We start from the raw sequence: 14,597 nt of genomic DNA on the forward strand, positions 1-14,597 counted from the left end.
GCCATCAGCATCATTGTTATCAGCATCATCACCACCATTGTCATCATCATTGTCACCATCATTACCACCATCATCATCATCACCATCATCATCATAATCACCATCATCATCATTGTCGTCATAATCACCATTATCATCATTGTCATCATCACCATTATCATCGTCATCATCATCATCACCACCACCACCACCACCACCATCACCACCATCATCATCATTGTCATCATAATCACCATTATCATTATCATCATTACCACCACCACCACTACCATCATCATCATTATCATCATCATCACCACCACCATCATCGTCATCACTGTCATTATTATCATTGTCATTGTCACCATTGTTGTCATCTTCATTGTCATCATCATTATGAAGACTGTTCAGCAAAGACCCCAGGAGGTAGGGCCCCATCAGGAGACAGCATTTTCCCTGCAGGGATAGGTGGCCTCTAGCACTTAGTTCAACTCTTTCCTTTTCTGGGGATGGGGGTGCAGGAGGGAAAACCTAGGATCCCATCCAAACCCTCCACATTTTATCTCTTGCTTCATTTGCCTCTTTCTCTCCTGCCTTATTTGAGAGCTGATGTCCCTCCGACCTCTTTTGGAACACTGTTGACAGACAGCACAGGGCTGTAGGAACCCACTGGCCCTGGAGCCGACTGCCTGTGCTTGAATCCTGTCTCTAGCACCAATATTTGGGTAACCTTGGGTTATTTAACCTCTCTGTCCCTCAGTGTTCCCACCTCTAGAAGGAGATGAATGCTTCTGCCTCATAGGGGAGTTGTGACTTATACCTGGAATGAACTTTGGCCTATAATGGGTGTGTGACAAGTCTCCTCAGCATTGGACAGCTTCACTGCTCTGCGCCCAAGACTGCCCTCGTCAGTGCTGGATGAATGAGGCCAGGAGGCGGGGGAAAGAATGGAGGCAGGTGCCCAAGCTTGGGTTTGGGGCAACATCGAGCTAAAGAGCCAGAAGGCAGGGCTGCATGATCCCAAACTCTACCAGAGGCTTCCTCTCCCTGACTCCAAAGTCCTTTAGCCCTGGGCAGGTAGAAAGAAGGCGGGGGCCGGAGATGGAGATTCCCGGTGGACAGTAATGGTGCCTGGCCGCTACCATGGCTGAAGTTTGCCCCTCTGGCCTTGCCTGGGGACTGGCAGTCTCAAGACAGTGGAGAGAGGCTAAACTCCATCCTGCCCCTGGTAGAACCTGACACTGGACATCAGAGGCATCTTGGAAGGTGGTGTCTTCCCGGCCTGTTCCAGGGCAGGCATGTGAGACAACTTTGCCCAAGAATGCAAGCACCTTCCTGGGTCCCTACCATGAGGGCTCATGTTGTTTACCATAGTAGTTTGCAGACATAAACAAAATAATAATAAAATTGATGTATTAAAGAAACTTTTCATTGAATGGAGTTTTTAATAGAAAACTTAGTTTGAAAAAAACAGACAGGCTGAGTGTGGTGGCTCACACCTGTAATCCCAGCAATTTGGGAGGCTGAGATGGGAGGATTGCTTGAGGCCAGGAGTTCAAGACCTGCCTGGACAACATAGCAAGACTTCATCTCTACAAAAAAATTAAAAATTAACCTGGTATGGTGGCATACGCCTGTGGTCCCAGCTACTCGAGAGGCTGAGGTGGGAGGATTGCTTGAGCCTGGCAGTTCGAGGCTGCAGTGAGCTATGATCGCACTGCTGCCCTCCAGCCTGGGAGACTGAGTGAGACCCTGTCTCTAAATAAATAAGTAAATAAATAAATGGTCCTCCCAGTGGACACAGCCCTGGCTGGAAGGTGGGTTCTTGGCTGAGTTTCAACCCCGTTCAACCACGTGATGTTGGGAAGATGGTGAGATCTTTCTGAATCTCAGTGTCTCCATCTGCAGAGACAGAGGCGCAAAATGGCACCACTACACAGCACTGCTCCCTGGGCCGTCAGGGGCAGGGTTCCTGGGTGGCGCCAGCCATGTGGGCTCATGTCCCCTGGCAATCTTGTGACGTCGTCTCCCATTTCCACCTGGACATTGCCCATCGGTCCCTCCATGGGTGGAAGCTTCCCTGTGATGCTGGGGGTGCAGAGCGCTCCTCCATGGTTCTGCCTGTGCCTGTGGGTGATGCCCTTGCTCGGCTGGGCTGGAAGTGGCCACTTGGCCGTACAAAGCACTCTCCATCTGTGATAGGATGACTTCACAGCCGCAGCTGGGTCTCCTGGGCCTCTCGGACCCTTCCTCAGAAGGCTCTCAGGGCTCTGCAGCTGGGCAGAGCCTGCATGATTCGTGGCACTGTCCCTTTCTCCCTTGATTTCTCTGCACCTCAGTCTTCCCATCTGTAAAGTGGGGATGCTGACAGCCCATGCGGTAGGGTGTTAGGAAAAGCAGGCAGAGAATGCCCGGGGAAGACCTGGCTGGCGGTTGACCTGCAGTGAGTAGTGGTGAGGGGCAGTGTTGCCACTTGAGGAATAGCGCTGAGAGAGACCAGGCAGAGGTGAGGTTTTGAGACCAGGGAGATGTTCAGGGTGACTGGGGTGGTGGGTAGTGAGAAGGGGAGACTACAGCGTTGTTAGGGGCTTGGAAGTCTGAGCTAAAGAGCTTAGACTTCATGTTGTAGCATGGAAGAGCTGGTTGTAGGGCTGAAGAGACAGAAACAGAGAAGGCAAGCAACGTAGCCAATGTCACATGGCCCATTTTTTTTTTTTTTGAGATGGAGTTTAGCTCTTGTTGCCGAGACTGGAGTGCAATGGCATGATCTCGGCTAGCTGCAACCTCCGCGTCCTGGGTTCAAGCAATTCTCCTGTCTCAGCCTCCCGAGTAGCTGGGATTACAGGCATGCGCTATCACGGCTGGCTAATTTTGTATTTCTAGTAGAGACGGGGTTTCTCCATGTTGGTCAGGCTGGTCTCAAACTCCTGATCTCAAGTGATCCTCCCACCTCGGCCTCCCAAAGTGCTGGGATTACAGGCATGAGCCACCATGCCCAGCCCACACTGCACTTTAGTGGCAAACTGGGATGAGGATGGGCATCCTGTTTCTCTACCTCTCAACAGTGTCTGAGCCTTGGGTGCAGCCTTGCAGGTGAAACCCTGGGCTGAGAGTAGAGGCTGTAGCGCCCTTGACCTTGAGTGCAGGTGACATTTCCAAGCTGTCTTTAATTTGCCTTGAAATCAGGCACAAATCCTTTGCAAAACAGGAAACTCTCTCTTTGGGACTGACATGAAATAGTATTGCTATTGAATTAAAGAGTTAGAGCTGTCTCAAAGGAGTGGCATATTGAAATAGCCGGTGGGGTCAGCCCAGCCTGGCTAAGCCTTTGATAGCACAGCTGATAATAGACCCCGGCCTATAAATACCGGGAATCAATCACGGGCTGGAGCTGCTGACAGCCTGCATGTTCACATATCATGGCAGATGGGCGGGAGGCAGGGGCGGCGATTTGTCTTGCCTTTCAGATGGATTTCCTGTTTTCTAGGGAGTGGGAAAGGACCCATCTGGTAATCAGATCGTGGCCAAGATCACCTCCTCTGGGTCACTGGCCCCTGCTCCATGTGTCCCCTCGGCCACGTGGCCCCAGCATTGCGGCGGTCAGGCGGCCGGGCCTCTGAAAATGAGAGCCACACCAGGAGGCCTCTCGCCCCGTGGAAGCTTCCGGAGGCTGGGGAGGCGGGGACTCCTGCCTTTCATCTTCCTTTCTGCTTCTTTTCTTGGCACCTGGCTTTGCTCATAGGCATTTCGTTATTATTTTTTTCTTCAAAGGCTCGTCTCAACTTGCACATGTATGTGCAAACTTCCACAAACACATGCACATGTGTGTGTGCACACATGGGGTCCACAGCCTCCTTTGCAGGCCCTCCTGGGCTTCCCTGTCAACCCACAGCTCCTCCTAGATGCGTCCTGATGCCTTAGCCAGGTAGAGTTCTCTGTAATATTATTTGTTCTGATCATTGCATTTTCACTGCTCCTGACTCTCAGTTTACAACATAGCCCAAGGCCAGCTACGGCTCTGAGCCACCTTTTTGTCTTGGGCAAGGTGTCCCAGAGCTGAAGGGTCCACACTCTCCTTGGCTCCGCCAGGAGTCTCTGTCCCTCCTCCCCTCTTACTTCCCCCAATCCCCAGGCATTCACAGAGTGGGTCCTTTGTGTGAGACCTTGGGCTGGTGGACACATGGGGCTCTTTCTTCCTGAGGAGCTGGTCGGGGGATGCGTCTATCCTGATCATATCTCAGGTGTCTTCTCTCCCCTGGCTCATGAAATCTCCTGTCTCCCAAATTATGTCCAGACAGGGGTGGTAGCAGGCATCTCTCTCTTCCAGCCCAGAGGCCCACCCACCAGCCAAATGGGGCATTTAATTGGAAAGGGAGGCTGGCAGGCTGCCTGGAAATCCTGCAGAAAGGATCGGAGTGGCCTGCTTTGAAAACTTTGCCACATACCTTCCCCGCAGATTTCTGTTTCAAATATTTGAAGGGGTTCTTGGGACCATTTGAGAATTACACCCGGAGCCATGCAATGACAGATCCCTCCAAACCCTGGTGGGGCCTGTGTGGTGGTGCCGCCCAATCACTTGGTATAAATGGGAAACGGAGGCAGATCAGAGGTGGAGAAAGAATTGAATTCAATTTGGTTCAGCACTCCAAATGTTGGTTGAAGGCTCTTTCTGTGAGAGACACACAAAATACTTACCTGAAAGCCCCTCCCCGCCAAATCCTGAAGTCACAGCTTCCTTAGGGACTTCAGCCAGAACTCTCCCCAATATTTCAGTCCTGCTGGATGATTCCTGAGCCTGCAGATTCCTGTTGGTGTGAGTCAGCAGGGTGGAGGGATGGGTGAAGGAAGGAGTGAGGGTCGGTGAGGGAGATTCATCCTAGAGGCCTCATGGGTTTATCTGCCAAGCAGATAAAGCCCCTCCTTTCAGAGCCAAAATCAGGGTTCATCAGGGCTGGAGTGAGGCCATGGAAGGCAGGATCAGCTGTGTGTGCAAGACAGACTGAGAGCAAGAGAAGAACTGGGGTGTGGAGGGGTGGCTGGGGGCAGCTGTCAGAAGGTCCAGGCCCTGAAGCCCCGGGTGGTCAGCTGCTCCTCTTCACAGAGACCACGGTGCTGGCATCTCATCATCAGGGGGCATGTGGCCAGTGGAAGCCATGCAACTTGGTAACCATGGGTGAGTAGCTGGACCTCCTCTAGCCCTGGTTTCTTCCTTGGCAGAGCAGGAATGACCAGAGTTGCTTTGCCAGGTACCTTGAGATGAAATGAGGTGTGAGGGCAGAGGGCCGCCCTGTGCTGCTCAGAGCTGGTCCATCAGTCCACAGGCTGTTTCCAGGGCCATATTCCAGCTCTGGCCTTTTTGAGTCATGGTGCTCTAGGAAAGTTTCTAAGCCTAGAGCCCCATGGGATACTAATGGGATAGTAACAGTCCTACCTCACAGGGCTGGGGCATGAAATTGGTTAATCCATATAGATAACCTGGAATAGTCCCTGACTGGTACACAAAGGGGGTTAAATTGAACTGGTGCTGTGATGGTGGTGGTGGTAGTGATAATGATGATGATGGTATGAGGAGAATGGTGGTGTTGATGGTGATAGTGTTGATGGTGGTGATAATGATGGTGGTAAACGTGGTGATGATGATGATGATGGTCATGATGATGATGATGATGGTGATGGTGATGGTGATGATGGTAGTGGTGGCAGTGGTGATGATGATGGTGATACTGGTGATGGTGATGGTGGTGATGGTGATGATGATGGTGGTGGCCAGTGGTGATGATGATGGTGATACTGGTGATGGTGATGGTGGTGATGGTGATGATGATTATGGTAGGCGGCAGTGGTGGTGATGACAGTGATACTGGTGATGGTGATGATGGTGATGATGATGGTGATACTGGTGATGGTGATGGTGATGGTGATGATGATGATGATGATGGTGGTGGCAGTGGTGGTGATGATGGCGATACTGCTCATGATGATGATGGTGATGATGATCCGTGATGGTGATGATGATGCTATCGGCAGTCGTGATGATGATGGTGATGGTGATGGTGGTGATGGTGATGATGGTGATGATGATGATGGTGATGGTGGTGATGGTGATGATGGTGGTGGCAGTGGTGATGATGATGGTGATGATGATGATGATGGGGTAGTGGTGGTGGTAGTGATTGTGATGACGATGGTGATGATGATGATATGGCAATAGTGGTGATGGTGATGGTGGTGATAATGATGAATAAATCGTCATCATTTAGCACTTGTTATATGCTTAGATCTGTCCCAGCCATGGGGATACCACAATGAACAAGACAAGTATGGTTCCTGCTCTCCTGAGAATCAGTACTACTGATGGCAATAGCCAGTGGGTAAGTTAACCGACCCATGAGCAAAGTAACATTTCAGAGGGAGGAGCTGGAGAGTTGTGTGAAGTGTGGGGCAGCCCAGTAGGCTCCTTGGAGGAGGTGACATGTGGATGAAGAGACGGGGGGAGCCACCATCATGAGGGGCAGAGAATTTATATTGGCTCAGATAACTAGGACATCTGGGGTTGCATCTAGCATTGGGAACAGGCGTTAAAGATGCCCTCTCGCTCCCCCTCTCTCCTCTCTGCCTCTCCTGACTACCTTTTGACTTCCATGGTACCCCGAATCAATGCCACTCTTACGGCTTCCAAGATCCGTTGTCCCGGGCTAGTTGTGTCCCCTCCCTGGAACTCAGTGGTCCCATCTGGAAAGTGTGATGGGGAACGCTAGCCAGACACCCCTGTGGTCCCTTCCATCTCTGGGGTCCCGAGTGCCTGGCCCTGTGCTGGCGCCCTTGTTGGGCCATGGAGTAACTGACAGTAAGCAGTGGGCATGAGGAGCACTTCCTGCTTCAGGGCCTGCGGGAGGGTGAACAGTTCACTTCACAGTAGGTCTCTGTGGCTTACCTGGGATGGAGCTGGCTCCAGGAGCAATTTCCCCTGGATGAAACAATCTTTGGAATCCACCGTATATCACTCGCCATGACGTCTTCTGTTTAAACAGCGGCAGCCGGCAGAGGGTGAGCGAGGAGGCCGTGCTGGGAGGAGGGCCCATGTCCCAGCCCCCAACCCCGGCCCCGGTGGAAGGCCCCGCTATGGGGGAAAGCAGGCATATGGAACCCATTTGGGAAATTCTTTCTGCATAAACCACTTTTTCCAGGTAAGACACATGCCCATATTGACTGGGAAAGATGCAATACCTCTTACACTTTGCCGGCTACATTTTTATGGACCTTAATTAAACCCACGGTCTGCCGGGTTGGGAAATTGGACACTCTTTGTGCGGCGCCTTCTTAAGAAGTACTGTTGGCCCAGGGGAGGCCAATTATAACCTCGCGTCCTCCCCACCTCCCAGGACCTCACAGACCCTCCAAGCGCTTGGAAAATGTGCGCTCGACAGAGGGCCTTTGATTCTGCTTGCCTGGACAGCGTTAGGCCTGTTTCCAGGCCTGAGGCAAGTGGTGGTCAGGGTCCCAGGCGGCCGGCGGAGGGGCCACAGAGACCGGAGTTTTCAAACTTCATTGAGCACCAGCGCTTTCCTTTCATGCCCAATCGCATGGAGACCTCGGATAGAAACCAGATGAGCCTGCTGGGGCTGAAGGGGGAGGTTGGTGGGGGGTGCACGTGGCCCCTTGCTCACCCCCAGCTCCTGTTCGCCATGAGGTGACAGCGAGGACAGCCGCCTGGGTGTTCAGTGAGTTGTTAACGCCTGGATGGTTGTGCTCGTTATCCTGTTTAACAGGCACAGGCCAAGTGAGGTAGGTGCTGTTACCATTGCCATTTCACACCTGAGGGAACCTAGGCGCAGAGCAGCAGAGGGACGGGCCCAGGGTGGCCCGGCCGGAGCAGGAGGAGTGGTGGGGTTTGGGTCCTGGAAGCCCGTGTGCGTGGCCGCCTCTCCAGAAGGCTGCTGGGGAGCTACTGATTGGGCCCAAGCCTCTCTTTTGACGGTGCTCCGGGCTCAGTGCTGTGCCTTCCACTCCCGGTGGCCCCTGCCTGTGCGTGATCTCCACAGCACAGCCCCCTTCTTGTGTCGGGTAGTGGCCTAGGCCCCTCCTATGCTTGGGTTCATGGATCCAGCAGGCCGGGGGGGTCCTCTCACCGCTGGAGGGGCTACTCTGCCAGCCTCTCTGGTTGGGTGGAACCTGCCCTTGACTAGCATACATGGTCCGGGGCACCCCAGGACTTTTCAAGGATGCCTTTGGTTGGAGGAGAAGGTGTCTTTGCTTTGGTCCTTTTTGTGCTCTGGGCTTCCACGAATATTTCATTTTTAGGGAAGAGATTCGTTAATCAAGAAAAGTGTCCCCTGGATGAGCTTTTCCTGGGATTGGCTCTTCCTGGGATGCTCAGGTCATGGCCCCAGAAACCCCAACCTAGCCAAGGGAGCATGTTAGGAAGCCAGGCCAATGGAGGGATAATTTACATGCGGTAACATCCATCCTTTCAAGGTGTATGCTTTGGTGAATTTTGACAAATGCAAGTAGTCACAGACACCCTCGTAATCAAGATACGGAAGATTTCTATCACCTCCAAAGCTCCCTCGTGCGTCCTCCCACCCCAGCCCCCCAGTGGTGGATCCGTTTTTGGTCCTCATAGCTCTGCCTTTTCTAGAATCGCATCAATAGACCCATGCAGTTGGCAGTCTCTTCAGTGTGGCTTCTTTCACTTTGTATTATGCCTTTAACATCCAGCCATAGTTACAGGGACATCGCTGGCACCTCGCAGGCTGGGTGGCCTCAGGGAAGATGGAGCTGGGCTCACCCCGGGTACCCTGGAGCAGTCGAGCTCTCTGGCAGGTAGAGCAGGGTGGGTCCAGAAGCTTCTGCTAGTCTTTGTTTCCTCATTAACTCAGGAATGTTAATCAGTGCTGACTTCTTGGGGTTGATGGGAAATGATGGGCCATTTGGATACTTGCTCAGGGACTGTGCACAGTGGCTCATGCCTGTGATCCCAAGGTTTTGGGAGGCTGAGGTGAGAGAAGCACTTGAGGCCAAGAATTTGAGACCAGCCTGGGCAACATAGTGAGACCCCATCACTAGATATGTGCTCCTGACCTCATAGCACAGAAACCCAACCAGAAAGGATTCAATAAGTCTGGATGAGGATGGCTCCAGGGCAGCTTCATCCAAGCACTCATGACATCAGTGATCTGGGTGACTCCTCAGCTGCAAGATGGTGGCAGCTTCTTCTAGCATCACGTCCCTACGGGACAACATCCAAGTGGGAAGGGGCACTTCCCTGTGGTGTTCCCCTCTGTTAGCAAGAAACCCTTTTCCGGGAGCAGCCCCCAGTTTCAGCAGTCTTCCCTGTGCCTCACTGGTCAGGGTGTGTCCCATGCGTCATGTCTACACCAATCTCCAGCAACAGACGGGAGCTGCCAGGAGAGGGTGAAGCCTGAGCAGCCTTTGCTCTGGGCTGGAGAGGGGCTGGTGAAGCACAGAGCAGATAATGCCTGGATAAGACGGGGGCTCTCCGGGCAAGGGAAGGAGGACGTGCCCAGAGGTGGGGAACTGGCCGTCTGCTAGATGCTGTGTGTGAGTCTGATTGCAAGGAGGTTCTCTGTCTACAAAAGACCAGAACAGGAGGGAGCCATTAGGGAAGAAGGCCACCAACATGGCCGGCTGACTGTGGTTGGCCTTCCTCAGGGCTGAGGCTTAGATAGGGTGAGCCTATCTTGTAGATGTTCCTCAAAGGAGAGGACACAAATGAGCAATTTGTGACCTTTGTGTGCTTGCTGTCCATACCTTCATCCTTCCATCTCTCCATCTATCCATCCGTCTCTCCATCCCTTCCTAATCCATTCATCCCTTCATCCATCCCCTTCATCCATCCATCATCCATCAATCTCTCTATCCCTCCATTCATCCATCAATCTCTTCATCCTTCCATCCACCTATTATCCATCCACTTCTCCATCCATCCATTCATCTATCCTTTATTCATTTATCCATTTATCCATCCATCCATCTCTCTATCTCTTCATCCATCCATCCACTCATCTATCCATCTCTCCACCCCTCCATACATCCATTCATCAGTTGTCCTTCCATTAATTCGTCCATGTTTCCATCCCTCCAGCAGTCTCTCCATCCCTCCATCTCTCCATTCATGTATCATCCCTCCACCCATCATCCATCCATATCTCCATCCATCCACTCATTGATCCTCCATTTATTCATCCATCCACCCACCCATCCATCCATCCATCCATCCATCCATCCATCCATCTCCTATCTCTCCATGCATCCGTCTCTCATTTCTCCATCCCTCCATCTCACCATTGCTCTATCACTGCATCCTTCTATCCCTCCATGTCTCCATCCCTTCTTCCAAGTAACAACCAAGCACTTGCTCTGGGTGGGCCCTGTGCTGGGTCCTGGAGAGAAGGGGAGAAACTGGGCTCTGTCGTTCAGGACTTTGGCAAGGGCCCCTCACGGTTGGGGTGTGGAGGCGTGGTTTCCCTTGGGGCTTTCCCCATAGTGAGCATGTGATGCTTTCAGGGGAACACTGCCTTTTAATTTTTATCCCAAGATTCAAGCAGCACAGATCCTCTCTTGCTTCACAGCCCCTGTCCAATCCTGCCTTTCATTAACTAACTTTAGTAACTTTCCTCGCTGTGTTTAATTAAGATTCATACGAGCAAGACTTGAAGGAACACAAGCATCTCAGTGCGGCTGGGCCGGCCTTTAGTCTTGGGCTTTTTACCTCTTGCCCGTGGTGGTGCTGGCTGCAGAGGACCCCCTGAGCTGGGAGTAGAAATAACTCACCTTGGTTTTTTTCTTGCTGCCAGACTTTTAGGATGGCTCTGAAACACCAGACTAAGTCTGTGTCCAAAAGCCTCAAGCATTGGCCTGGGATTATGTAGGTGGATATCATTTGAGGACTATGGAGGCCAAATTATTTCCTTGATTGTCTAATCTCCTTGTTAACAACATTTGTGAAAAAATGAAGGGTTTTTTTTTTTTTTGTTTTTTGTTTTTTTTGGCTGCAATGGAAGTTTCAAGACTTACAAGGAAACAGCTTTTGCTGTTCCCCTCTTAGGGCCTTCCAGCCTGACAAAAGAAATCAGCAGCTTGCCCGTGGGCAATCTGGAGAGGCAGGAAGGTGGGTGAGGGAAGCATGACATCATATCAGGTGGGAATAAAAAGGCGTGTCCTGCAGTGTCCCTGTTCAAACATATTTTGGTGCTTGGATGCCCGCTTTGGAAGCTGGAAGACCCTCAGCAGGAACTGCGAAGGGCTCCAGAGACCCGGACTCAAGTTTTCAAACTTTAAAAATGAGTATGGCAAGGGAGGAGTGAGGGGTGAAGGGCAGCAGCCCCCTGGTGGGGAGCAGGGGCGCCGGGAGTCAGATCTGACAGAGGGCTCCCGGCTGTGTGCTGCATGCGTGGTTCCCCTTTTTCTTGGAGAAAATGGGGAGGCAGGAGTGAGGCAGATTGCTCTGGGACAATGGGCCCCTCTCCCGTCGGGTGGGAGCGGCTCTGGGCCCAAACAATAGGCCTGGGCCGGCCCCTCTCCTGCTGCCCACCGTCTGAGACAGATGCCGGGGAGCCGCCGGGAGTGCCCCAGAGGTGACCTTCGGGGGCTGCCCTGTCACTTTGTGGAGGAGTCCTGGAGAGGGAGGGAGGCAAACAATGGTGGCCTCATGCCAGGCGCCCGGCCTCCGGCACGGGCCAGGGCTCCCCAGGGAGAGCACGGCCTGGCAGGTGCTGCTATTGTCTCAGGGCGCAGGGGCCTTCCGCGGAGGTCTCCCGGCAGGGAGGCAGGGCACCGGTCAGCACGCGGCAGGAGAGGCTTGGGCTGGAGGCCCTCTTGTTGTTCTCCAGGGAGGACGCAAGGAGCTGATTCTGCTGGCTCCATTCAGGCCTGACAGCCCCAGCCCAGTTCTGCCCTCAGCCCCTAAAAGCGTCATTCAGAAAAGCAATTAACGTCTCTGGCCTCCAATGGCACCGGGACTCTGAGTGTCAGATTTTACAGCCGGACCTGCCCTAGGAAATGCCCAAATCTGAGCTGACATCCTCGCTTGAGCTGGGGGCACAGGCGGAGTTTTCTGGAGGAAGGGCATCAGCTCAGGAGGACAAGGGGTGAGCCCTGGATTTGTCTTTTCTCTGCAAAGAGACTTGCCCTGGGAGAACCCCCACACCATAAGCTGAAAGCAGTGGATGAGCGCAGCAAGGGCTCTCTCATCCTGGGGAGGAGCAGTAGCTAATGGGTGTGCGTGTGTCCGTGTGTGTGTGTGTGCATATGTGTGTGTGCATATGTGCATGTGTGTTTTTGTAGGCATGTATATGTGCACATGTGTGTGGCTATACATGCGTGCACACACACATACACTGCAAATGTGTTCATGTTGTGTGTGCGTTTGTGTGCACACACGTGTGTCTGGGCAGGTGTACATACCTGCATGTGTACACAAGTGTATTTGTGTGTGCATGCCCATGTCTGTCCCATGTCTGTGCACATGTGTGCATACGTGTTTGGCGGGGTGCATACTTGTGCCAGGCACTTTGCTGGGGATTTTTGCAAACGTCATTCATGTGACTTATGATCTGCTGGGAACAGGCATTGCTATCTTGACCACAGATGAGGACACAGACCCCTGAAAGGCACATGACTTGACTATACCTCCTCAAACTCCTCAGACCCCAAGGTGGGTCTGCAAGACCTCACAACTTGGGCCTTTTCTACTGTCCACTCATCTGCAGGCTGTGTCCTTCCTCAGCCTGCTGGCTCTGGGATCTGGGAATGTGCCTTGGTCGGCTGGGTCTTTGAGACTGTTCTAGGCCCTAGGGGAGAAGCAGACACAGTCTCTGCCCTTGTCCTGCAAAGGGGAAGGGAACATGGAGGGCAGAAGTGGCTCCTCTAGGTGGCAGGGAAGGTGGTAGGGGAGTCCAGAGGAGGCCCATGTCCTGCTCTCAGGGGCCAGGGAATGCTTCCCGGGAGAATGATGTCCAAAGCCAGGCTGCAGGTTGAGCCAGCGTGAGGCAGGTGAGAGAGGCCTGGAGAAGTCCCTAGCTGTAGAGAAGGTGCCCGCAGCCCTGAGGGAGCCAGGGGTTACCTGGGGGGAGGTCTGAGGCTCACCAAGGTTGGGTGCTTGCTGTCACCTGCTTCATTGCGGAGCCATACATGGAGCTGCGGAGTTCAAGGTTGGCTTCTCAGACACCTAAGGCAGCCTCACAGCTGAGCCAGTCTGGGGAGGAGGACCACCTAGGGGCCTGGCAGGTGGTCCAAGTGGCTCCTCAACTGGAACTATGCCCTGCCTTGCCCTGGTTCCCTGTGCTGGGGTGACTCTGTGCTCAAGCCTATGATAATCGTCTCTCTGCCTGCCTCTGGTGTCCCTGGTCCTCCTTGTACTGCAGGAGCTTGTGCAGGGCAGGGTGAGTGGCGGGGACTTGACTCTCACAGTCCCTAGCTCTACTGGCTCTGAGATTTCAGCCAACCTCCCCTCCATGAGCTGCGCTGTCCTCATCTGTAAAGTGGGGGGATTGGCAGAAAGCCACGGACAGTTTCCCACAGTGCCCTGCCCATCAAGCAGGCCATATTCAGACAGTGCTGTCATTTCACCGAATGGAGGACTCCCTCTCACCCCCTCTGGCTGGCATTTCACCAAACCGAGGGTTCCCTCTCACCCCCTCTGGCTGGCATTTCACTGAGCAGGGGGCCCCCTCTCACCCTCAGGCAGACCTGTCATTGCACCCAGCCTTTCTCTCTCCTGATGTGCAACACCAGGCTGGGCCGGCGCTGACCACCCTGGACATGGCAGTGTGGACGGTAACAGAGCCGGTGACCCGCCCTCCGTCGGGGCGCCTTCCCTGGCGGCTCTTGCTCCTGCCGTCTTGAGTTCAACCTCCCAAGAGGGGCTCTGGTGGGTCCAGGTAGTTCTTCTCCCCGCTGTGTGTGGCTTTTGCTCCTGATGGTTTCAGGCTGTCGGTGCCCCGGGGGTTGGTGTTTTCCCCCCAGCTCCTGGTCTCTAAGCTGAACTAGGTCCAGGCTCTGTGAACACTGCCCAGTCCCTGTGGCAGCTCCATCAGGGGCCTCTGAGCGTGGCAGGCACCCATGCACTGTGGGCGTTTTCTTTGAGATGCTGCCTGCCCGTTGCGAGCTGCTGGCCTAAGCTCCTCACTGAGACTGCCTGGCATTCGGAGGACGACCACAGGGGTGTGAGCTGCCCCGGGGTGCATTCGCGTCAAAGAGGTTGAGGTGGAACCAGCTGCGACCCTCAGCAGCAGCAAGTGGCCACTTTGGGGACCCTGTGGGTTTTGAGTCAGAGGAAAACAGAGTTTAAGCCTTTTCCCATTTGTCCTGAGAGTACTCACCAGGGGCTTGCGACTGCAGTGTTTACCCCGAGATAACTCCGCCACGAAATAGCTCGATTTTATTATTATTTTTGCATCGCTCTAGTATATTGACTTTGGAAACAAAAGACGTCATATCCTACTCATAGCATTCTGTTTCTAGTAGCGGCATTTCCATTTACAAAATAGAGTCATTCTCGATCGCTGAAAATGTCACATCCTAGAAAACACAGAATTCCTACGCGTGGTTGTTCTCGGATGTTTGTTGGCCAAAGATTGATTTGACGAATCCGTTTT

The 14,597-nt window shown here is 53.2% G+C and overlaps 1 annotated feature.

The window, feature by feature from the left end:
- Window positions 7,188-7,812: an enhancer, noted in NCBI's record as "H3K4me1 hESC enhancer chr11:68963671-68964295 (GRCh37/hg19 assembly coordinates)". NCBI's record gives its function as "activates a minimal SCP1, AML or CMV promoter by ChIP-STARR-seq in primed H9 embryonic stem cells {active_cell/tissue: H9 hESC(primed)}" and the evidence as "EXISTENCE:reporter gene assay evidence [ECO:0000049][PMID:30033119]".

Source organism: Homo sapiens, chromosome 11 (genome assembly GCF_000001405.40).
Source record: "Homo sapiens chromosome 11, GRCh38.p14 Primary Assembly".
NCBI classification, from domain to species: domain Eukaryota; kingdom Metazoa; phylum Chordata; class Mammalia; order Primates; family Hominidae; genus Homo; species Homo sapiens.